The sequence below is a fragment of the Homo sapiens genome, chromosome 14 (genome assembly GCF_000001405.40).
Source record: "Homo sapiens chromosome 14, GRCh38.p14 Primary Assembly".
Lineage (NCBI taxonomy): Eukaryota > Metazoa > Chordata > Mammalia > Primates > Hominidae > Homo > Homo sapiens.
The window spans coordinates 82,687,568-82,714,084 of NC_000014.9; the positions used below are offsets into that span (position 1 = coordinate 82,687,568).

General features: G+C 36.6%; 1 long non-coding RNA gene and 1 pseudogene across 1 annotated transcript in view; one reads left to right on the forward strand and one right to left on the reverse strand.

Moving 5' to 3' along the window:
- The window catches only part of LINC02301 (long intergenic non-protein coding RNA 2301), a 64,194-nt gene extending 44,936 nt beyond the window's left edge, over window positions 1-19,258 (forward strand). The window contains exons 5-6 of the long non-coding RNA NR_146650.1: window positions 7,223-7,301; window positions 19,134-19,258. This is a non-coding gene — a long non-coding RNA (long intergenic non-protein coding RNA 2301). The remainder of the gene's footprint in view (window positions 1-7,222; window positions 7,302-19,133) is intronic.
- On the reverse strand, window positions 5,306-5,631 carry ENSAP2 (endosulfine alpha pseudogene 2; annotated as a pseudogene).
- Window positions 19,259-26,517: the final 7,259 nt, after the last annotated feature.

Below are 26,517 nucleotides of genomic sequence, written 5' to 3' on the forward strand. Positions count from 1 at the left end.
ACAAAGCTAAACGAGAGAAATTTAAAATTTTATAGTGTTTCACTTGATTATTCAACCAATACTACTCAACACTTGCATGTGAGGAACCATGCCAAAGTGAGGGGGAAAACACTCAAAAAAGATTGGAGGGAACAGTTTGTGGTACTGACATAGAGTTTAGAACTGTACTGATTCAACCAACCAGACTAGAAAACCTCATTATTTAGGGGGCATTTGTTGAGTAGAACACACAGAGGCTTTTGTCTCAGAAGTGGGGAAAAATAGCCCTAAAGGAAGCACAGTCCTGTTTCCTCCTAACAAATCTTAAAAGTAAGATCTCTTTCTACCTCCAAAATCAAACTCTTTCCAAGTTTGTACTCCAGAAGAAAGCTTTGAGCCTTGAATTATGCCCTAGAAGAAAGCTAAAAAATACTAATAGGAATTTAAAAAGAAAAAAAATCTAGCTCCCAATAAGGTAAAATTCAAAATGACTAGCATCTAAAGAAAAATACTAGACATTCAGAGAAGCAGGCAGATATCACCCAAAACCAAACTGAAGCTATAACAGATTTAGAACTAACAGACAAGGTTATTAAACAGGGATATATATTCAGGTGAACTGGTGAGACAGAATGAAGAAGGTGGAAAAATACTGAAGTTATAGGTCTCCACCCACAGCATTATTTTTCTCACTCATGCCCACTAGTGACATAGGGCATGAGTGGATTAGTGCACCAGCTTCCTCAGCTCTCAGTTGAGAGCGCTCTTATTTCTTATGTCTTCTCGAAGCTCTGTAATGAGAATGAGATCCAATTGCTCAGAATGAATGCTGTCTTGGCAATTCAACCTTTATCCTTGTGTCTCTCTCTCACTTCTTTATTCTCCTAATTATGTCTTATAATATCACTTTTTAAATAAATTACTTGAACTCAAATGCTTGCCTTGGGATTAGCTTCTGGAGGAATTCAAACCATGACAGTGACTTTTTGGGAATTTTTGTACTAAATACGTAGCTGAAGTGTTTGCTGATACAAGGAAAACGAGTGACAAGCTGAGTCAAAATCTCCATGATTTAGGCTCTGCTTTCCCGTATTCATAAGTATTTGGATATTTCAGATAAACAAATGATATTTGCTTCCATTTGATTCTCTGTCTCACAAAGCTGCCTTTACCCTTTTTCATTATATGTTTTGTCTGTGAGCAGTAGAAGAGACGCCTGAGCAATCAGTTCTCTTTCCTCCATAAATACACAATCAATTCTCTTTCTTCATTAAACATGAGCATCTTCTAGCAAACACTTTTAAAATATCCTGATGGCTTCCTAGTTGAAACACCCAATTGCTAACTAGGACCTTCACCTTAATGAGAGTTGAATTTTAAATAAGAATCTGCCAATATATTTGTGTTTGGAAATTATCTTCCTCTTCTATTGCAAAAAAAAAATTATTCCTGCTAGATATTTTCCCCATTTCTTCATTTTTCTATAGGCACCAGAAGTCTGTTGAGATAAGGCTCATCAGGTTATCTTTGCAACTTTTTTCACTTTAAGCTAGTATGTTAACATTATCAAAATGTAGGATTTGCTTTTATTAGTGAATATTGCATCACTATATTCCATCTAAGCAAAGATGAAAGGGATGACTCTGTGTGAATACTTGTAGGATGCAGTGGAAGAAATATTCTGTGATCAGTAAAAGGTCTTCCATTGATAAAATATATATTAAGACTTTCTATCATGATTATGAACAACTGATATGATCATCTTTTATTTTTTAATATTAATATTCTGGAAAGTCTACATCTCCTGAGGTGCTAGGGGAGTAGTATGGAATTTTTGTTCATTAGAACAAGCGTGGTTAGTTTGAAATTAGTTTGCTCTTTGGGGGAACAAACCACTGTGTTTCATCCTGGGAATTATCATTTAGTCCAGCTGCCTAAAGCTATATCCTAGCAGAATATAATAAAGATTTGGAGGAACTCCCAATTCCTTATCGGTTACTATATTACATAGACGCTTTTTATAAGGCAGTGGAAGAATTGTTCAGAAATCTACAAAAGGCATTATTCAAATAAATATACAACAAAAATACTTTCATTTCATTACTGAAATAATAATTAATAGTTATTGCCCATAATTATTTTTCACAATTAATTAAATGAAGTAGCTTTGCTCTATTTCAAAGCAAAACTGAAGTCCCTTAATGACTTTACCATTTGGAAAGAGTGGAAGAGAGGATCATTCATTGTCTAACCTATGGACATGATCTCCCTGGAAGTAAACCCATCTTTTTCTTTTATTCCCAAGATGATTGAAAGTGAGGATATATGATTATAACTTTCCCTTACTAAATGGGGCAAATTATTTTAATTAATATTATAAAGTAGCAGATATATTTATCTGAAGTAGCATCATGCTTTTCTTTTCTGGTTGAAAATGATAAACATTATCTCACAATGGAATAAATTAAGCCTTACAGAACTATGTTTGCCTAGTAATGGTATATCAATTCTGTTTTCTCATAAATGAAGAAAGCATCACCAAAAAGAAAATGGCTAATGGGCAACCCCACTGGCTGATGCAATACTACTGAAAGTCCCTAGCATATCCCATCATCTAAAGGAAAACTAATGACTTAAATATGAAATGAGTTTATTTTTGCGTGGCATGTAGAGTAGAGGCTGACTCATAGAACTAAATAAGTTAGTTACTGTTATTGTAAATTTTTGCATTTGGGCATTATCCAAGGCAAAATGAGAAGAAAGAGGTCTTTTTTGTTCTGGCTTTTCTTTCTTTTTTTTTTGGATTTAATAATCTAGTTTTAATCAAAGCAATTTGCATTTGGATTTTGGAGTGATCCCTCCTTGCTAAGGAAGCTATGTACTTCATGCTGTGGAAACCGGCAAATACAGAATGTAGCTTGTTTCTTTGTTTTCTTAGCCTTGAAGATGACCAGGTAGAGAGACAGAGTGAGACCAACAGTTTTTCTGATTTCCCTGCTCCTCCTATTCCTTCCTAAAAATCAGACTCATTGTGACCAGTAGTCTTGAGGACTCAAGCTGAATGACAGAGAAGTCAGCTCAGACAGAAAAGAAAAAAAGTACAGAAGTCGAGAAGATCGGAGATGAAGAAAACGTACAAAATTATATATATATATTTATATATATAATAACATGACATATCTATGTACAACATGGCTGGGACAGTTGAAGAAACTATACAATGGTGTTCAGCATTTTCCCCTTCCCACATGGACTTTAAGGATGACAGCATGAGGAAATGGAGCAAGAAACACAAAAATTATATAGAATTACAAGTGACAGTCAAGGAGTTTGGGGACCAAGGAGTCCAGGGATCCTGCTCTCTCCATTCCTTCCTCACCAACTTTTTCCTATCCAAATTGAATGACAGCCTGAACACTGAATGGCCAGTCAGGAGGAAAGTATATACACACCTCATCCCCGCACATGCACATCATTAAGTCTATCAGTCATTCTCAGTGGGCCAAATGTTTGGCATATCAGAATTTGTGATGTGAGAGGGCAAGAGGATTACAAAATCTCACTCTCTTGAACATTAGTTCTCACCCTGGCCCTCTCTATCATAACTAGCAAGTTGCGTTCAATAAGATTCTAGCCAAGCTGGTGATAACTAGATTGAAGATGCTGGTCACCTGCAACCCCTTTCCTCCACCTGTTCATGAGTCAGCATAGCTACCTCTCCTCATCATAAAAGAACTGGGTTGCTGAGTTCTGGGAATGCAGAGATTTCTCAGTCTTCCTCTCCCTCCCTAACCACTTTCCCCAGCTTCCTCCAAGGTGAATCATCTTCTAAGAACCTGCTCCTCCAGCCCTGCAGGAGTACTCAGCCCCAGGGGCTAGCTCAGTTTACCCTTCTTCCTCTTTCCCTAACAATATACCTGGCATCAGACTGCATCTGAAACATGGGTCAACATATGTGCATGACTGAGCATGTTTCCTTAGGCCTGCAGCTCTGCTGCCAGAGAAGCTTTTTAGCAGCTAAGGCCCAGAGGTAGGCTGGGAAAGTGGGCTGGGTCAGAGGCAAGAAGCTTCCATGGCTAGCTTCCTAAGTATTTTTTTTTTTTTTGACCCTCAAGACTGTGATATCGATAAGATTCTCTTGCCTGAATTTATAATCCCCAAACCTCAATTTACTCTCTCCTCATGCATCCCTCAAATGGTTCCCCTCTGTAGTACTTTCCCAATATTGCAGAGCAGAGGTTAACCACCCACGAGCCTTCCTCACTTTTAGTTTTACAATGAACAGTACGGAGTTTTTCTGCTGGCAGTTATGACTTCAGAATCAGAATCAATCTTACATACATTTAACTCTATTTTACAGATGAGGAAATAGAAATCCAGAGAGGCTAAATGACTTAACCAAGGTTATACAACAGCTCTGCTGGGACTGAGTAGAGTGAGAACCCAGACATCTTGACTCCTAAACCAGTGCTCTTCCCACTATACCATGATACTTTCAAAAGCAACATGCTGGAAAAGAGAGAGAAGGTGCCCATTTTCTGTGAATAATGTTCATCAATCTTTACATTACTTGAAAGGCAGAGCAAACTGTAAGAGATACTAAGTAATGGAGGCTAAGGGGGCACTGTAGTTTTAGGCAAGCAAGTCAATTTTTCTTTTTAAGGATTCTCTAAACTCGCCATAATGGAAACATGAAGCAATAGCAGCCGAAGGGACAGAACACTTAGAAGCACAGAAAACATGTCTCATTCAATCTACCTTTCCCAACTATGTTAGGTTAGCCTTGGGATGTTAAACCTGCCAAATTATTCCCAAGGCTCAGCCTAATCAATTTTGGGACATTCTCTCCCAAAAGGAGAAATCACATCTCTCCAGTTTCTCACACAAAAAAAGCATTTGCAGCATTGTCCAATCCTAGCCTTTCCTATTTCTGGGCCCTACCTGGACTACAGGGAGTGTGTGGAAGTGTCAATCTAACGAAAGAAATAAACTTAGAGCCCCTTTTCAACCTACATTACCTTCTCAGCAGCCCCCAGCAGAATCACAGTCATTTTTGGCTAGCAAGCTGAGAAGATCTGACTAGGTGCCCATTTCATCCCTGCCTATAATATATAAAAGTCCAATGGTTGAGGAAGGGGAGGAGAGGGGGTCTCAGGTTACCCCGCAAGCTTGCTGGTGACGAGCGAGGACTTTCTCTGGGGCAGATCCTGTGGGGTGGGATGTGATCACCAGTCACCAGGTTCTTGTCTGGTCCTGCACTTGGCAGCTGCTTATTCTTCATCTTGGCTTTGGCCATGTTGTAGTCTCCTGAGTCAAAGTACTTTTGCCCTTTCTGGAGTCTCTTCATGAGGAAGTCGGAGCCTCCAGGCTTTTGTCCTAGGCTTGGGTATTTGGCCTTTAGCTTTGCCTCTTCAGCTCTCTCAGGGAGAATACCTTCTTTCTCCTGCGTGTCCTGCTTCTCCTCGCCGGCCTCCTCTGCAGGGTTCTCTTCTTCTTGCTTCTGGGACATGGCGGGACCGGGACTGTGGAGTGTAAGGGGCCCGGGAAGGCAACCGGAGAAGGGAAGGGGGAGAGGAAACGGGGACAACCTGCGCTGCTGCTTCGGCTCCTATCACTAGGGTTGCTCAGTTAAAATGGCGGCCTTTGCCCCTGTTCTGGCTTTTCAACAGTATAGGTTTAGTAAAATAATGGCAATGACACAACAGCAATAACAGTCCAAGAGCAGTTGGCATGGTTGGTTTAACCCCTAGCGGATTCAGAGCATATTTTTAAATTTATTAATTTGGTCAATATAGTTGCTTTGGAATTCATTTAATGAATTTAATTTTTAACTTTATGGACTCTCCATTTTGTACTAACTTCTTATGTAATATAGAAAAATATATCTCATTTGGATTTCAACCAGATTAATATTTTCTACAAACTAGAGTGTCTTCTAATTTACCAACCTAGCACTTATTCTATATCCAACCTAGCACTTATTCAGTATTCCAACACTGTGAATTCCTAAACTGTCCACTTTTCCTTATATAAACAGTGATTATGGGCGCCATAGCTTTGTAGGTTGGGCATTCATGAGGACCTTGAAAGTCACATTAATCTTCTTGATTATAGCAATCACCCTAATCCCCTAGTTCAGTGTTAAATTGGCTGTTTTTTTCTTAATATTAAAATAGATCATTGTTACAAAATATTTTCCTGTAACAAATATTTCAACCTCATTTCTCTCATTTCTTCAGTAAAAATGTTGTATTCTTTCTCGAGTAGAGTGAACTCTCGTGTAGTCTGGTTTCTATCCTCAGATATTTTCTGACTTCATGGTAATAGGTGTTATTCACATTAAATGAGTATAGATGTAGATTAACATCTACATCTATAGAATATATGTAGAATAACAGCTGACCACACTTAGAAAATAGGAAGTACATAATAACGGTTGGTTATCATTGTCAAGTACTGACATTTTTTGCCAGTCCTTTGATCTGGCATTGGAGGACTGATACAGATTCATTTTCCACAGTCAGCTGATGGGAGGAATCTTACAGTGTGTTGCTTCCCATGAGAGAGAGAAGTCTCTTATTAAAGATCATGAATAGTATAGCCACATGTTGGAAAATAAAAAAAAAGTCAACTAAGGAATTTTTAATTCCAAGTGATTCTTATATTTTTATGTATTATATACATCCTATATATTTTAATATATAATATATGATATATAAAATATATTATATGTACATATAATATATTTTATATATGATATATATATTTGATATATATATGATTTATATATGATATATATTAAAAAATCATGTACATATTATATATTTTATATAATTATATTTTCCATGTCCCCATCAAGCTATGTAATTTGTATTTCCTTAATTTTTTTGCTACATTTACTATGGAGGTTTGGGTTCCTAGTAGTCAATCTAAACTGTTTCCATTTGGCTAAAGGAAGTTTTAATTTTATTTTATTGGCCAAGAAATATACCACGTTTACACAAACCAAATTGTTCTTGTGTAGGATCTCCAACACAAGCATGAGGATAACAAGATTGTAACTGTAGTAATACTACAATTACCTGAATGTGAGTCTACTTCAGTTCAAGGACCATTCTAAATACACCTCCTAACTTATAACCCAATAAAAATATGCATTTCCAGAACTACATAGAACGAGAAAATAGAGTTCATATTTTATTGGGTATTCATTGAATTTTCTTTCACTCAACATTTCTTACAGGGGTCACATGGCCTAGATGCTACCCTAGATGAGAAAGAGTCCAATGGTTATCAACAAGTTCTGAAAGGCAAGGCCTAAGGTACTGAAAATTATATTACTCAAAGCTGAAGGCAGCAAATCTGTTCATGTTTACACAGTTGGGAAAGTGGACTTGTGTTTTTTACAAGCAAACCAGTGACCAGCCAATGGCAGGAGACCTTCCCCACCCCTAAAGGTGATGCTCACCTACCGTCATGGGTAAAAGGAAGCTCTGGCTCGAATTCCTCATGTATTATTCATGTGTGATGCCACCCAACGTGATTCAGAGAAGAAAATTCTCAGTGTGTTCACCAGAGGTGATTACATGAGAATAAAGCACGGCCTGATTTTTTTTCTTGTTCACAGGAAAAAAAAAAGAAAAGAATGTAGAATTTCTGATGTGGGATTGTTTCGACCTTGGAGAGTGTCCGTATGAGACACATGTGTGGTATACAAAACACCTTTAAGATTTAATCAGAATTGTATATCTTTCCAAATTAAATTGATTGCTCCCTCAAACTCTTATACATCATACCTGTATCACTTTTTTTTTGTTTTTCTTTTTTTTTGAGATGGAGTCTTGCTCTGTCACCCTGGCTAAAGTGCCATTGTGCGATCTCGGCTTACTGCAATGTCCACCTCCTGGGTTCAGGCGATTCTCCTGTCTCGGCCTCCCGAGTAGCTGGGATTACAGTCCACGCCACCACTTCTGGGTAATTTTTTGTATTTTAGTAGAGACAGGGTTTCATCATGTTGGCCAGGCTGGTCTGGAACTCCTGAGTTCAGGCAATCGGCCTGCCTCGGCCTCCCAAAGTGCTGGGATTACAGGCATGAGCCCCTGCACCTGGCCCCTGTATCACTTATTTAAGCACTTACAATTCTATCTTTATAGATAAAGATGTATATATTATATATTTTATATAATATAATTATATTTTCCATGTAGTCTATTTTGTATCTTTTATTGTATTTGTTGTTTCTGGATGAAACTCAAAAGCTCCTGTGAGTAAAATGTGGATGGCGGACATTTCTTCTATCATCCAGTTAAATGCAGAGTTGGTGCTTCATTTACTTTCTACAACCTTTGAAGTTGAATTGTTTCCTTTGAGAAGTCTTGGATTTTGATTCCTTCTTATTTTCCCAAAGTAAATAAGGGTCATTTCTTTTTCATTAGCCCTCTTTAATATTATCTTATTATTCTTGGGTAAGAAAGAGCAGTCAAATGCACATACTTTAAATTTATGTTTAAAAAATTGAGATACTGACATACAAATCAGTTGTAGCATCAGGGAATCCAAATTAAAAGGCTGAAATAATGGTGGTGAGGAGTAAGAGTAGAAGTATTTAGGTCAATGAGGAGTGGTATGGGAAAAAAGATTTATACTCTATTACTGTCTTTCACGTCAGCAATTGTGCCATTAACAGCAAGTATTAAAAAAAACTGCAAACAGAAAAATAATTCTGGCATTGAGACATACAAATTACAGGAACATGATATAATCAGAGCTCCTGATTTGTATCCCAGTAAACCACAATATCATAGTATTACTTCAAAGGGCACAATTAGTCTTTTTTTCCCCAAATATGAATAGCATTGACAGTTTGTGTATAAGCGTTGCCATTAACATTTTCTCACGTACAAGATGCCATCTTAAAGTCAGACTTCCTCCTGTCTGCACATGATATAGCTAGCCACTCAGGGATATGGATGGCTATAGGCAGAAACCCACAGAGTTTCAGGTAACCAGGCAATTTCAGTGTGTACATTTATAAAGAGGTTGTTAAATTTGATGTGATAAATAACAGTTTAATCCTTCTATAAATTTATATATTTATGTATGTATGTTTAGTGTGATTCTAAAACTAAAACACACACATTCATTTTTATTGCAGCATTCTTAAATTCATGAAAGTAAGTTGTATTTCACTTTTTAATGTAATCTTAACCAGGAAATCAAAGGAACTTGAGGAAACTGTGCTAGAAATCCTGAACTCAAACTGTGAAGACACAGAACTTAAAATATGAAGACCTAGACTCCAGTTGCATTCTAGTTTATTAACTGCACAATGTGAGACGAATCATTTTTTTCTGAACTTCAGTACTTTCATCCATAAAAGAGAACTCATATTTTGTATTGTCATGCGAGCAGATGTTTAGTACTTGAGAAAACAAACTCTAACGTTGTACACATGGAAAAAATCACAGTCTAAAACAATTCTGACATTTTTCCTCCAGGCACAGCATTCAACAGATATTGAGGGTCCCCTGACTGCCATGATACATGCTGAACACTAGAAATAAAAGGATGAATATGTCACACATTGCAATATACACTTTATTATCTGATATGTACAAAAGAATGTATATATGCAAATACACAAATACAAATATTTGCACTCATGCATAACACCCCAAAATATTAACAGTCATTATGATGATGTTAAACTTCTTTGTTCAGGCTTTATTTCCTAAATTTTATATAATATGCATGCCTCGTTTTAAGTTTTAGAATCACACTAAACAAAATAATTATAATTTATTAATAATTTACTAGGATAATTTTATGTCACAAAGAAATTCACAGCATATTTGAACTCATTTTTACAACAGGAATTTCTAAGAAGCCTCATTTTTTCCTTCCTATCACAAACAAGTCAATATTTTATTTCCTCATCTTTAAAATTAAAAAAATAAAAGTACCTCCTAGGGCTGCTTGTAGTCCACAAAGTTCTATGCAAATGTTTGTTCTTCTGTTTTCATTGTTACTATTATTGAGAGAGTGACTTCATTGTTTCTAAGAGAAGATTAGGAAAATGTATATGTATTTTTCTTTATGTGAAGTCTTCATGGAGAAAATGGCATTTGAATTTTACCTCGATCAGGAGGGCATGGGTGTTACGGAAGCCAATAGTGGAAAATAAAGATTGAATGGAAGTTGGGGTGGTCTCACCCAGGGCACTGGACACCGGATGAAAAGTTGCACATCACAGCCTTTGCTAAGGGAGAGTCAGCTTTCAGCAAGCAATGGTTCAGAGCATCTCAAAGAAGCATTCCCTGGCTCTTTAACCCCAAAGGAGAAATGATATTCTTTTATTTGAACTTATGGGATACTACTAATATGCTATTTTTAAAAAAGGAAAAATGAAGCCTTTCTTGATACCTGCTCCACCCCTGAGGACACAAGACCAGTTCATTTACATGTCCTGGAGTCACTTGCACGCAGCACGGTGCACACTCCTGTGAGGCTTGCCCAGGACAGCATGGGAACGCTACCTATGGGCACCTGGTTCAGGAGACCTCAGATGTAGCCTGCACACCTAGTTTGAAAGCCCCACAATGGTTTACACAGCAGCGATGGCATGGAACCTGATGGTAGGGATGAAATGAACTCTATACTATCAGTTAACCATCATTATTTACCATCATCTCTACCACTATTAAGTTAACCCTTGCTTTAAGCAACTACTACTGTTAAAAGACTAATTTCCTTAAATTGGCAAGATGTAAATAATTTCAAAACTTATATTAGCACAGATTTTCTGAAAAACAACTTGGAAAACATTGTATGTACATACATGCATGTGTACAGAATCCTAAAATCTTAAAGTAACTGAATTTGGACCCAGTATTTTTATCTCTAGGTCATTTCCACTAAGAAAATAATTAGCTGCTTGTACACAAATTTTAATCAAAACATTTTTATATTGCTTATAATGTTAAAAAAATATAAAACCCCTAAATTGATGGCTATCAATCGGGCTGTATTGGCACTTTAGGTGAGCAGTTCTTCATTTGTGTGCCTGGCCTGTGTATCAGGAGATTTTACATTCCTTTCATTCATCCATGAAATTCCAGAAATGTGCCTACATCAACCTTTGTAACAACCAGGAACACTCCACCGACGCATATTTCTATCCCCTTAGGAGAATAATATTAGCCTTGTTTGAGAAGCTGTAGTCTAAACATGTGTAATGGGGCATTAGTTAAATAAATGTTGGTATGTTCATTTATGAAACACTTATAATGTGTTTTAAAAGGTTATTTCTAGACTTAGGAGTATAGTTGGTATTATAATTTATAATACACATACAGAGACACATATACTCATGCACAAACATATTGGGATTTTACTTAGATGCTTCCTAATACTCAATAACACACACAAGCAAGGTAGTTAATTTTTCTAATGTGTCAAGAGGTGTGTGGTTGATAGTCTTGGTATCTTTTATCAGCCAACAATATTCTGTGGTTTCTTCCTTAAGGTCGCAAGACAATTTCTCTCATTTTGGGAATCATATCTTTATTCCAAGAAAGAAAGAAGAAGAAAGACAAAAGGCAAAATGTCAAACAGATTTACTTTTTTTTCAAATCCCATCAGGCAGATCTGTGTCACATGATTACATATAGTTACAAGCAAGTCTTGGGGGTTGAATCCTTGTAAAAAGCCCATTGGCAACCCAAACAAAATTAATATTTTGTTACATCAGAAGAAAAGGATCCTTGAAATAGGAAAAGCTACCACCAGTGCCTGCAACTTTACATAAACATCCAATCATGTTTCTGTTTGCTTTTATAGCCATTGGTCTTTTTCTATAATTTTCATGTTTCTCTCTTAATTGTACAAGCATAGCACGCATTGTACTTCCTCCCTAACATTGACTTTCCCTCTTCTGTAATGGTTACACATAGAAGAGGTCTTGGCTAAAAGAAGCAATATTTACTCATTAAAAAGAAATTGTATGTAAGCACTAGGAAAGATGGAAGATGTGCATTACAGGAGAAGGATGTAGAAGGACCTAGGTTCAAAGAAAGAAAACAGACCATCTCAAGTAATACGAGGAGGGAAACGCCTGGCAGTAGGGGTGAGAATTGAGAAGACCCAGTGGACAGACATAGGAACATCCTCAGGCCAGGATCAATTGCTAACATATAATGTGGAGAAATACTTAAAATCTCAAAAAAGAACAAGAAATTTGTCAGATGCCACCAAGTAATTATGCTTTCTTTGTAGTGCCATTTTGGCAATCTGACAGCTTGGTACAAAGGCAGACACTGAGAGAAAAGTGCTGTTAAGGCTGATGCTATTGGACTTTCTGAAACATATTTCCTAGTTGTAACTTAATACTATTAATGAACTTCATTTCTTTTCTTTTCCCTCTTCCTAAGAGGCTGCTTCATGAGCCATACTTGAGAAAATGTGAAGTGGCAAAACTCTCCTTGGAGGATAATTTTGAGAGAGGAAGAACATGGTGGCCTTTGTTACTTTCTCCTTCTCAAAACATCTCAGAGATTTCAGGCTTGGAAAGTGGAAGCCAGTAAATTCAGATATTAAAAAAAAATGAAAGATGCATACTCTCTTTTTCCTTCAAAAATGCAACAATGTGCATGAAGACTGAATGATAGGAAAATCAATGTAAACTTTTTTATTGAGCTAGTTTGTCAAAGAGATTTAATTAAGCTCTTTATGTTCTTATTTTTTTCTTTTCTACTAATCTCCAGGAGGCAAGAAATATTTATACCCACACAAAATAACAGAAAATTATGGTTTTCTGTTTCTGCGTTAGTTTGCTAAGGATGATGGCTTCCAGCTCCATCCATGTCCCTGAAAAGGACATGATCTTATTATTCTTCATGTCTGTGTAGTATTCCACAGCATATGTACACCACATTTTCTTTATCCAGTCTACCACTGTTGGACATTTATGTTGATTTCATGTTCTTGCTATTGTGAATGTTGCTAGAATGAACATACGCATGCATGTGCCTTTGCGGTAGAATAATTTATATTCCTTTGGGTATATACCCACTAATGGGATTGCTGAGTCAATGATATTTTTGCCTGTAGGTCTTTGAGGAATCACCACACTATCTTCCACAATGGTTGAACTAATTTATCTCCCATCAACAGTAAATAAGTATTCCTTTTTTTTCTGCAGGCTTGCCAGCATCTGTTATTTTTGACTTTTTAATAATAGCCATTCTGACTGGTGTAAGATGATATCTCACTGTGGTTTTGATTTGCATTTCTTTAGTGATCAGTAATATTGAGGGTTTTCTTATATGACTGTTAGTTGCATGTATGTTTTCTTTTACAAAGTGTCTGCTCAGGTCCTTTGCCCACTTTTTTACAGGGGTCTTTGGGTTTCTCTTGTAAATTTGTTTAATTTCCTTGTAGATAATAGGCTTTTGTCAGATGCATAGTGTGCAAATATTTTCTCCCATTCTGTAGGTTGTCTGTTCATTCTGTTGATAGTTTCTTTTGCTGTGCAGAAGCTCCTTAGTTTAATTAGATCCCATTTGTCAATTTTTGCTTTTGGTGCAATTGCTTTTGGCATCTTCATCCTGAAATCTTTGCCCATTTCTAGCCCAGAGTGGTATTGCCTAGGTTGTTTTCCAGCTTTTGTATAGTTTGGGGTTTTACATTTAACTTTTTAATTTATCTTAAGTTGATTTTTTATATGGTGTAAGGAAGGGGTCCAGTTTCAATCTTCTGCATATGGCTAGCCAGTTATCCCAGCACTATTTATTGAATAGGGGAGTATTTCCCCATTGTTGGTTTTTCTCAGCTTTGTTGAAGATCAGGTGCTTGTAAGTGTGCAGCCTTATTTCTGGGATCTCAGTTCTGCTCTATTGTCTATCTATAAGTCTATTTTTGTACCTGTACCATGCTGTTTTGGTCACTGTAGCCCTGTAGTATAGTTTGAAGTTGGGTTGCATGATGCCTCCAACTTTGATCCTTTTGCTTAGGATTGCCTTGTGTATTTGGGGTCTTTTTTGGCTTCATATGTATGTTATGTATATGTATATGTATAGTTTTCTTTCTAATTATATGAAGAATGTCATTGTTAGTTTGATAAGAATAGCATTGAATATGTAAATTGCTTTGGACAGTATGGGAATTTTAATGATATTGATTCCTCCTATCCATGAATATAGAATGTTTTTCCACTTGTTTGTGTCTTCTCTGATATCCTTGAGCACTGTTTTGTGGTTCTCCTTCTAGAGATCTTCCACCTCCCTAGTTAGCTGTATTCCTAGGTATTTTATTCTTTTTGTGGCAAATGTGAATGGGATTGCACTCCTGATTTGGTTCTTGGCTTGGCTGTTATTGGTGTATAGGAATGCTATTGAGTTTTTAATGTTGATTTTGTATCCAGAATCTTTGCTGAAGTTGTTTATCAGCTGAAGGAGCTTTTGGGCTGAGACTATGGGTTTTTTTTTTTTTTTTTTTGACAGAGTCTCACTCTGTCGCCCAGGCTGGAGTGCAGTGGCACAATCTCAGCTCACTGCACCCTCCGCCTCCTGGATTCAGGCGATTCTCCTGCCTAATTTTTGTATTTTTAGTAGAGACGGGGTTTCAACATGTTGGCCAGGCTGGTCTCGAACCCCTGACCTCAGGTGATCCTCCTGCCTCAGCCTCCCAAAGTGCTAGGATTACAGTGTGAGCCACCACGCCCAGCCATGGGTTTTTCTAGATATAGAATCATGTCTTCTGCAAACAGAGAAAGTTTGACTTTCTCTCTTTCAATTTGGGTGCCCTTTATGTCTTTTTTTTGCCTGGTCATTCTGGCCAGGACTGCCAATACTACATTGAATGAAAGTAGTGAGAGAGGGTATCCTTGCCTTTTGCCAGTTTTCAAGGGGAACACTTCTATCTTTTACATGTTCAGTATGATGTTGGCTGTGGGTTTGTCATGTATGGCTCTTATTATTTTGAGGTAGTTCCTTCAATATGTAATTCATTGAGAGTTTTAACATGAAGTGATATTGAATTTTATTGAAAGCCTTTCTGCATCTATTGAGATAATCCTGTGGTTTTTGGTTTTAGTTCTGTTTATGTGATTAATCACATTTATTGATTTGCATATGTTGAACCAACCTTGCATCCCAGAAATAAAGCCTACTTCTTCATGGTGGATTAACTTTTTGATATGCTGCCAGATTTGGCTTGCAAATATTTTATTGAGGATTTTTGCATCAAAATACATCAAAGATATTGGCCTGAAGTTTTCTTTTTTTCTTTTCTTGTGTCTCTGCAAGGTTTTACTATGAAGATGATGCTGGCCTCAAAGAATGAGCTTTGGAGGAGTCCCTCCTCCTCAATTTTCTGTAATAGTTTCAATAGCAATGGTACTAGCTTTTCTTTGTACATCTGATAGAATTCAGCTGTAAATCCATGTGGTCCTGGGATTTCTTTGGTTGGTAGGGTACTTATTACTGATTCAATTTTGGAGCTTATTATTGATCTGCTCATGGAATCAATTTCTTTCTGGTTTAGTCTTGGGAGGGTATATGTGTCCAGGAATTTATCCATCTCTTCTAGGCTTTCTAGTTTGTGTGCATAAAGTTGTACGTAGTAGTTTCTGAGAGTTATTTGTGTTTCTGTGGGGTGGGTGGTAACATCTTCTTTGCTGTTTCAAACTGTGTTTGTTTGGATCTTCTCTCTCTATTTTTATTAGTCTAGCTAGTGGACTATTTCATTAATTTCTTTCAAAAAACCAGTGAAATATTGATCATTTGAATGGTTTTTTTGTGTCTCAATTTCCTTCAGTTCAGTTCTGATATTTATTATTTGTTGTCTTCTGCTAGATTTGGGGTTGATTTGCTCTTGCTTCTCTAATTCTTTCAGTTGTGATGTTAGGCTGCCAATTTGTGATCTTTCTAATTTTTTGATGTGGGCATTTATTGCCATAAATTTCCCTCTGTGCACTGCCTTAGCCGTGTTTCAGATACATTGGTATGTTGTATCTTTGTTCTCGTTAGTTTCAAATAGCCTCTTGATTTCTGCATTTATTTCATTATTTTCCAAGAAGTCATTCAGGAGCACATTGTTTAATATCCATGTGGTCGTATGGTTTTGAGTGATTTTCCTAGTCTTGACTTCTGTTTTTATTGTGCTGTGGTCTGAGAGTGTGTTTGATATAATTTTGGTTCTTTTGCACTTGCTGAGGATTGTTTCATTTCTGACCGTGTTCTTGATTTTACAGTATGTGCTATGTGGCAATGAGAAGAATGTCTATTTTGTTGTTTTGGGAGTGGAGTGTTCTGCAGAGGTCTGTTAGAGCCATTTGGTCCAATGTTTAGTTAAGGTCCTGAATATCTTTGTTAATTTTCTGCTGCAGTGATCTGTCTGATACTGTCAGTGGAGCATTGAAGTCTCCCACTATCACTGTGTGGGAGTCTAAGTCTCCTTTTAGATCTTGCTTTATAAATCTAGGTTCTCCTGTGTTGAGTGCTGTATATGTAGGGTAGTTAGGTCTTCTCATTGAATTGAACCTTTTACCATTATGTAATGGCCTTCTGTGTCTTTTTTGATCTTAGTTGGTTTAAAGTCTGTTTTGTCTGAAATTAGGGTTGCAACCCCTGTTTTTTTTTTCTGTTTTCTTCATTTGCTTGGTAGATTTTCCTCCATCCCTTTATTTTGAGTGTATTGGTGTCACTGCATGTAAGATGGGTCTTTTGATGACTGCATATCATTGGGTCTTTCGTTTTGTTCAGATTGCCGCTCTTTGCTGTTTAAATAGAGCATTTAGCTCATTTACATTCAAGGTTAGTGTTGATATGTGTGGATTTAATCCTGTGATTGCATTTTTAGCTGGTTATTATGCAAGCTTGTTTGCGTAGTTGCTTCATAGTATCACTGGTCTGTGTATTTAACTGTTTTTTCTATTGGCTAGTTAGTCGTTTCTTTCCATATTTAGTGCTCATTTCAAGATCTTTTGTAAAATGGGTCTGGTTGTAATGAGTTCCCTAAGAATTTGCTTATCTGAAAACAGTCTTATTTTTTTTTCATGTAGAAAGCTTCATTTAGTTGTATATGAAATTCTTAGTTGAAAATTTTTCTCTAAGAATGTTGAGTATAGGCCCCCAATCTCTCTTGACTTGGAGGGTTTCTGCTGAGAGGTTTTTTGTTAGCCTGATGGGGTTCCTCTTCAGGTAACCTGCCCTTTCTCTCTAGCTGCCTTTAACATTCTCTTTTTCATTTCAACCTTGGAAAATCTGATGATCATGTGTCTTGGGGTAATCTTACGTAGAATCTTGCAGGAGTTCCTTGCATTTCCTGAATTTGACTATCGGCCTCTATAGTGAGGTTCAGGAAGTTTTTATAAATGATATCCTAAAATATGTTTTCCATGTCGTTTGATTTTTGCCTATCCCTTTTGGGGATGCCAGTGATTTGTACCTTTTCCCTCTTTACATGATCCCATATTTCTCAGAGGATATGTTTTTTCCTTCTCTTTTTCCTTTCCTTTTCTTTTTTTTTTTTTTTCCTGACTGTTTTATTTCAGAGAATCAGTCTTTAAGATCAGAGTCTTACCTTAGCTTGGCCTATTCTGCTGTTAAAACTTGCAATTGCATTATGAAAATCCTGTAGTGTGTTTTTCAGCTTTATCAGATCAGTTAGGTTCTTTTTTCATCCTGGCTACTTCATCTGTCAGCTCCTGTATTATTTTATTGTGATTCTTAGGTTCCTTAGATTGGGTTTTGATGTTCTCTTGAATCCTAATGATTTTCATTCCATATTCTGAATTCTATTCTTGTCATTTCAGCCAGCTTAACCTAAGAACTCTTGTTGGAGTACTGGTACAATGATTTGGAGGACATAAGCCACTCTGGTCCTTGGAGTTGCCAGAGTTCTTGAGTTAGTTCTTTTTCATATCTACATGTAGGTGTTCCTTTAACTGTGATGTAGATTAAGTACAGTTAACAGACTTCTTTTCTGGATGTTTTCACGTAGCTGAGCCTTTGTGCAGTGTTTTTATTTATAGCTGACTTCTTGTCTTTGGTTTCACAGGTTATATTAGTGAGGTATTTTTGGACTTAAAGCTCAGAGGTATGATCCAGTAAGTAGCACTTAGGCATAGTGGCCAGGTAGTTGGCTCTTGCTCAGTCGTGTGGCTCTCATATATTTCTTCACAGTTGCAGTCATGTTCCCTCTCAATGCTCTGCAAGTGTGGGCTCTTCTCCCACTTGACTGCTGGCTGTAGATTACGGCTTGGCACTCCTGAGCTGCCATCCACAGCTCTGGGGTGACGTTAGGGTTTATGTTTATCATCCTATGGAATAAGAGTGGAGCATGTGCAAAAGAGAAAAGCACAAAACACTGAGCCTGTGTTCCTGGATAAGATCCTAAAATATGTTTTCCAAGTCGTTTGCTTTTTTCTCAATTTTGAGGCAGCAGAAGAAAGGACCTTAGTAGTGGTTGTAGCCAACGGTCTTTTGTTTATTTCCTGGGGGCTCCAGCCCAGAGAGATGCAGGTCAGTCATTGCTCATTGCAATCAGTCTGGGATGGGGGTTCTAGCACAGTCTTAAAATAGGGTATTAGGCAGACAATATGATTCACTGGGAGACATAAACACAAGTTTTCATTGATACCCCTGACTTCCTGTGCCATATATATAAAATTTAGGAATGCCAAATTTATACAAGGTTGTATTGTCTCCTGTTGTTTCTTTCTATTTTCCTCTCAACTCTTCCTCTAAAACAAAACTCTTATTTGTTGTAACTTCTGCTGAAGGTAAACCTTTATTAAATCTGACCTGGGAGCTAAAAGATCTTAGTTTCAGTAGTGGCTTGGGTGTCTGCCATCTGGACAATTTTGTTTATCTCATCTAGGGTTCTTGCTTATCTTCAAAATTAGAATCTTAGAGTAGTCAACAGTGTTTTTTGAAAATGTTGAAATTATTCTAGATTTTATTAGAATTCTAGTGTCCTCCTTGCCATAAAGAGAACAAGGTCATTCACCAAAACTTTTTTTCTTCTCATCATATAGTTCTAACAATCAAACTTAATGCTTCTTTGGAAAGAAAAATGAGCAAAAATATAGTTAACTTACTTCATTTTGCTGGTTTCTGTTTCCTGTTACACTGGTACTCTTCTTTTCTTCCTAGACAGTTTCTTTCATTCTTTTCTCTCAATTATGGAACCCCTGACTTGCAACTGACCTGGGCCCAGTGAAAGCTAATAGTTCCAATCCTGGCTCTTTGCCCAGTTGCATCAAAGAAGACCACACAGTGTGTACCTTTCTTGGAAGAACGTTTAGAAGCAAAATTACGTGAGTTAAAAAGCAACAATCTTTTTAAAATTCCTCATGTTTGTTTCAAATTGCATAGTAAATTTTGCCAGACATAATATTAAAACCAAGTAATTTGCTTTAACCAAAAAGAACAAGATGGTAATTACTAAAGCAGATACCAATGTATAGGAAGAAACATCTACAACATTCAGTTTAGAGCAAAGAGATATTTCCAGTTAAGTTGTCCAATTAAGAAAAATATAATTGATACTTGAAAAAGAAGAACATAGTTGGAAGGCCCACAGTTCCCAATTTCAACACTTACTACAAAACTGCAGTAATCAAGACAGTATGGCACTAACATAAAGTAGACATATTGGTCAATGGAGCAGACTTGAGAGTCCAGAAATAAACCATTGTCTTCTTGGTGAATGAAGTTTTAACAAAGACATCATGAGAATTAATTTGGGGGTAATATAGTCTTTTAAACAAATGGTACTGGACAACTGGATAACAACATACAAAAAATGGAGTTGGACTTCTTCCTTATGCTAAATACAAAAATTAACTCAAATGGGTTATAGACCTAAACGTAAGTGCTAAAACAAAAAACACTTAGAAGAAAATGGAGGAATAAATCTTTGTGACCTTGGTTCAGGCAGTGTTTTCTCTATACCAAAAACACATGTTAAAAATATATATGTGTGTGTATATACATATATATATATATATATATGCACGTTAAATATATATATATATTTAAAAGCACATGTTATATATATATAGAACTTGATCAAAACTAAAACATTTTGTGCTGCAAATTGTATAATCAAGAAATGAAAAGATAAACCCACAGAATGGGAGAAAATATTTGCAAATTACATGTCTGGTAACGGATTAGCATCTAGAATACATAAAGTATTCTTACAACTCAATAACTAAGAGATATATAATCCAATTTTACCCAGTAGGAAGGTTATAATGAAAAAGATTGACAATGACAATGCTGGAGATTATATGGAAAAAGTAGAACTCTCACATAATACCTGTAGGAATGTAAAATACTGGAGCTTATTTGGAAAACAGCTGGCATTTTCTCGTAAATTTAAACAAAGAGTTATAATATGACTAAACTGTTTCACTCTGAGGTATACACTCAAGAGAAATGAAAAACGTATCTATGAATGCTCACAGCAGCATTATTCATAGTTGCCAAAAAGTGAAATAGCCAAATGTCAGGCCAGGCACGGTGGCTCATGCCTATAATCTCAGCACTTTGGGAAGCTGAGGTGGGATGATCGCTTGAGGCCAGAGTTTAAGACCAGCCTAGGCAACATGGCAAAACCTCATCTCTACAAAAAATCCAAAAATTATCCAAGCATGGTGGCTTGCACCTGTGGTCTCAGCTGCTCAGGGGGCTGAGGTGGGAAGATCACCTGAGCCTGGGGAGGTTGAAGCTGCAGTGAGCCATGATCGTGCCTCTGCACTCCAGCCTGGATGACAGAGTAAGACCTTGTCTAAAAAATAATAATAATAAAATAAAAATTTAAAAAAGCCTCATGTCTATTCTGTTATGTGATGAATGGATAAATACAATGTGGTGTATACATACAAAGAAATACTTTTTTCAGACATTAAAGCAGTGAAGTACCTGATACGTGCCACTACATGGGTGAATCTCAAAGTCTTTATGCTAAGTAAAAGAAGCCTGTCACAAGAGACTATATATGGTATGATTCTATTAAATTAAATATGTAGAAAAGCACATCTATAGACAAGAAAAGTAGATTGATGGTTCCCTAGGGATAGGAAAGGGTGGTGGGAAGGGGATGGGAGAGAAGATGGGGGAGTGGTTGCCAATGCGAGTGGGGTTTCTTTTTGGGGTGACAAAAATTTTCTGAAGTTAGATTTTGGTGATGGCTGCACATCTCTGTGAATATACTAAAAACCTCTGAATTCTGCAACTTTCAATGGCTGAAATGTATAGTATGTGAATGATAGCTCAATAAAGCCGTTTTTTGAAGAAGAGTAAGATGGAATTGACTAAGTTAGCCACCAATACACAGAAAAAATTAGGCACAAGATTTATTTCAAGCAAACAAGTACTTTTAGTGTAGTTGTCCAATTAAGAAATAAACATTTGACCACTTAAAAAGTTGAATAATAAGTAATTACTTTCTTATCTGTGGAACAGAAATTTGATTTTCATTGCCACTGTCATATAACTGTGTATATTTCAGGCAGGTGCAAATAAAAAGTATAACTTGACCATTCCAACTGTTCAAGTCTGTTAAATACCATAGGATTCAAAATGGATGCATTTACAATTTAACTGATAGACGGATAGATAGATAGATAGATAGATAGATAAATAGGTACATAGATCAACCAAAATAAAAGGAGTGCCTATGTAATCAATCCTAAAGTATTATTTTTGAGATCCCTCTGAATTCTAATTTTATTTAATATGTTTATTTTAAATGCTCTGTAGGAAATATTTCCATTGTCACATGGATTCACTTTTATCAGCATAGAAATATCAGGGCTGATGTAAAATCTTGTGAGAAAATATGTAATTCTGACACCCATGTAACATATAGGTTAAAAAAAGGAAAAACACCTTTCTCAAGAGAACAGTTTCCCCAGAATTAAAAAAGGCATTAATTTCAGCTTCAAATTAGTTGTTCCGAGTCTGTGTTTTGCTACATGGCATGAGGCCAGTTGCAAGAGCATTTGCCTTTCTTTCACAATGTGTTGAAAACTGGTTGCATCCAGAATTGGAAGATTACACAAAGCTGATGGAAAAATGATTAGCTGCCTTAATACATATGCAGCTCTTACAGTTTTTTGAGGCACATTAATAACCTAGAAACTGTTGAGACCCTGGGTATGTTGACAGAGAAATCCTCTTTTTTTCCTGCAAAATTCCTGTTCATTGGCTCTTCAGTGTGTGAATCCATGTGCTATTAATATAGAAAAAAGAAATTCAACTCTTCTTCAATTTAGCATTAATGAAAAACAGAAGAGAATACATTTGACTATCTATGAGCCACTGTTTCAAAAGAGAGAAAGAAGATAGATTATACTAGTTGCAAAATGCAGTTTCTGTTTAATATTTTGAGCCAGATGAACCTCATTACCTACATATTAAGTAAGGTCTAGGACTAAAACTCAACTATACTTGAAACTATGCTTGATATAAACCAGTAAATATTTCAAAGAACTTCCCTCCACCTTCACCGCAGAAGACCAACTGGCATAAGTTAACAGGTGTTTTGCTTTGGTTTAATTTCTCCTTCCACAGTTATGAACCCACAGGCCTGATGTCTCCAATATGTAGACACACACACACACACACACACACACACACACACACACACAATTTATCCTTGATTTCACCAGGGATACAGAAACATTAACACAGAAAATGGTGAAACTCATTTACCTGAAATAAATTCCTTAATGTAATACATCATTTGTTACTGCCCTTTATTTGCATGTCTTGGATCCAAAAGAACTGTCTGCATCACAAAATTTCCCTCTTAACCTGGGACTAAACACATCACATCCCTGGGAGACAGAAGGAGGGGTTTGAATAGTACCACCAGTAGAGGGCAGTGGCGTACCATGCACAAAACTTGGCTGGAGCGAATGCCTCCAAACTTGCCTTGCAACCTGTAGTTAATAAAAACTGGGCAGGAGAGCAAAGTAAGTGGGTTTAGATTTATTTCAACTACATAAGCAAGAAAGTTATATAGCTCCCCGAGAAAACTCCATCTGTGGAATTCACAGCAGGGCAAAGTGTGCTAGTGATCAAAGGCTACGGCTCAAGCTTTAAATCATTGTTGCTCCAGAGGCCATTTTCCTCACACTCCTAACCTCTGCCCATGTGGAGAAACTTTTGAAGACAGGCCCAAGTGATTTTATATTTTTAATAACAAAAAGAGGGTTGACTTTTTGATATCTGGTTGGGATAAGTGGACAATTTGTAAAAGAAGATCTAAATTCAGAAGATATGGACTCTCTACAAGCAAGATGAAAATACACGGATTATTGTACCAGCTTTGCTATTAACAAGTTGTGTGATTTTAGATGAATCTCTTAACTTCTCTGAAACTCAGTTTCAATGTTAAAATGTGAACTGCATGAGACAATTATGAAGGCAACTCCAGCTCTAATATCCTATGATCGTTTATCTCCGATTTGGGGAGTCACCATCAGCCTCCCTCGCATTACACTCTGAAAACGCATAGAATTGCATGTTTAATATCCTTTGAATAGGTGACATAGGAAGTGCATCTAAGGGACAGTGAAGTGCTATTAATTTTTCAATGATAAAGAGATGAGGTTAGATTAGATTGAAGAGAAGTCTACTCTGTCTACCCACCACTTTGTTTTTTTTCTCTCTCTTAAGTGTTGCTTCCACATAACTTGCCTGAAAGCCAAATTCAGACATGTCTATCTGACCGCACTCTGGGAACATTACCTCAAATATACATTTCATTAAGATTATATTCATTGATTTTTTTTATCATTTAATAATTTGCTAGTATTTAAAGCTTAAGAAGCTTATCATAAGAATCTTGATTTCTGGCTTTTGATAAAAAAGCAATCAAATGAACAGATGCCAGACAGCCCTGGGAACTCATTCTCACATAGCAAACAATTGCCGAAGCTGAGGGATGCTGTTCCATTTGGGGTCATTCTCCTTGTTTCACCTGGAATCTTCTTGCTGTAGACTTCTCACTCTTAAGTGGCCATTCCTGTCCACTGTATGCATTATAAGTGATCCTTGGATGGACACCGATAAGAAAGTCTGGTTTTGGCTTCTATCATTTGCAAGAAATTTTGCTCCTATTTTCTTCAGTTTCTTGATGGAGTTGTATTGCTGCTCAAAGACTTCCCCCTCCCTCTTTACTTTGTTTTTTTCTACCTAATGATATCTGATACTAGAGGTACTAGCTTACAGGTTTAAGGTATCCCTATTCCCATCAAACAATAATATACACCTTCATTTTGCCAGCATTTCAGTGAAAAGTTCTTAAAAACAAAAGCCTTGGTGTTCTGAAACAAACAAACAAACAAACAAAACACATTAAGAACAATGGAACTTATTGGGTTCAAAAAACCCAACAGTTAGCTCCACAAATCTTACCACCCAGACCATCTATACTCAAATAACAATAGCAAATACTACAAAGATAGACATCATTTACTGGTTACCTATTATGTGCCAATCTTGTGCTAGTGATTTTTAAAGTCTTTATTTTAAAAATGGAGAAATCCAACCTCTGGAAGGTGTATTGATTTGCAATGACATGAGACTTGAGGAGTGAACGGGAATTTAGATACATAAAGTCCAATCTTTATTTTACAGATGAGGAAACTAAACCCAAAGATGCTAAGATTTTACAATGGATGTCGCACTATATAGCTCCAGTGAGCCGATTTGAAATACTGAAGTTGGTTTGCTTGCCCTATCATTAGGCATTCTATCTTACTAATTTCCTGTTGTTATTTATGCTTATGCCCATCTTTCCTAATGGATGGTTAGAGCCTTTTGGGGACATGGACTATCCATTATTAATCCGTGAATCCACTTTAGTGATTCTTGTTCAACTTGCCCCATGATACTTAGTGGTAGTAAGTCCTATGATGCCCAGGTACTACACCAGGGCAGATATCCAGATGCTGTGGCAGACAGCCAAGTGGCTGCTATGACAAAGACTGCAAAGCCAAATGGAACATTTGATGGGGGCATGGCAGGGGCCCCAGAGATGACAGCTGTGCACACAGTTTCCGCTGAAATTTTCAAGCACTTTTGGGAAGTAAAAAGAGACTAAAGTGACAATATTTGCAAACAAAATGCCCTGCAGGCTTATTCCAAATATCCAAGCTGCCATGCTGGAAACAAGCAGAGTTCGTTAAGAGAAACATCCACCGGTCACCCTTTCAAGCCTCATTGACTTTTATGCACAAAATGAAGGCATACATGAGGATGGTGAAGTGATAGAGCCAGCAAGTAAGTAGGAGAGGAATCACAGACCACTGCAGGGGTTTTAATTAGTGCTGGACTTTGAAAAGCAGAATCAGGGTTCCATCCAAGTATGCACTTCTCCCATTATGAATGTATGAGCATCAACACATTTCCCAAATAATCTAGTAGTCTTGAGTGGCTTCAAGGACAGTACAAGCAAGGTGAAATTAGCTCTGAGAGGAAATATTCAACTTTAAAGAGGTTACAATATATTAACCAAGGAGTTTCTTATTCTACTTTCTGCAAATTTTCTGCTGGTGTCTAACACTCTGCTTGACACACAGCAAGTACCTTATGCACAGAAGGCATTCCCAAATTCAAGGACTGGGAAGTACTTTTATTTTTATGGACTACAATATTGAATACTTCAAACCACTAACATGATCCAGATTACACAGTTTGTGTCAGGGTTTAAATCTTAGTCTCCTAAATTCAAATGAAGTCTGTTAGTTCCTAGATGCCATATGTACTGCATTACTAGGAATGAATAGCATGAAAACTTTGTAATGAATGTTTTAAAAAAGACCTAGGGTACTCATCTTCTTAAAGGCCTTTGGTTCCAAAAGAAAAGTTTGACCATTTGTTTGGAATAAAATGCAAGTCCAACACCATTTTCTCAGATTATCCCATTTTAGTCCACCTATTTGGATGGCTATAACAAAATGCCATAAACTATGTGGCTTATAAAGAACAGAAATTATTTCTCAGAGTACTAGAGGCTGGACTGTCCAAGGTCAAGGTGCTGGCAGATTCAGTGTCTAGTGCGGGCTTATTTCCTCATAGGGAAAGACTTTATACTTCCCTTTCATTTCTAATTAGATAGGCATTATAAAGAAGAAACTCGTAGTAAATAACCTGTGGTCAGCTTCTATTTACCTGCTCTGTGACCTTAGGCAATACATTAACCTCTCTGTGCCTTACTTCTTGAGCTGTAAAGTTGTGATCATAAAAATATGTACCTCATATTTTTATGAGGTACATATTTTACACTAACCATACGGTTAGTGTAAAGATTAAATTACGTATATACATTTAAATTAAATTATGTATATACATAAAAGATTAAATTACATATATACATTTATATAATAAATTAAATATAATATATATGCACAATTTAAAACAGTGCCTGGCACATAACTATTATTAATATTAACAAATAATTATAGATTTTAAAATAAGTTAATTTAACAAAATTTAAGATGAACAAGAGCTGATTTAG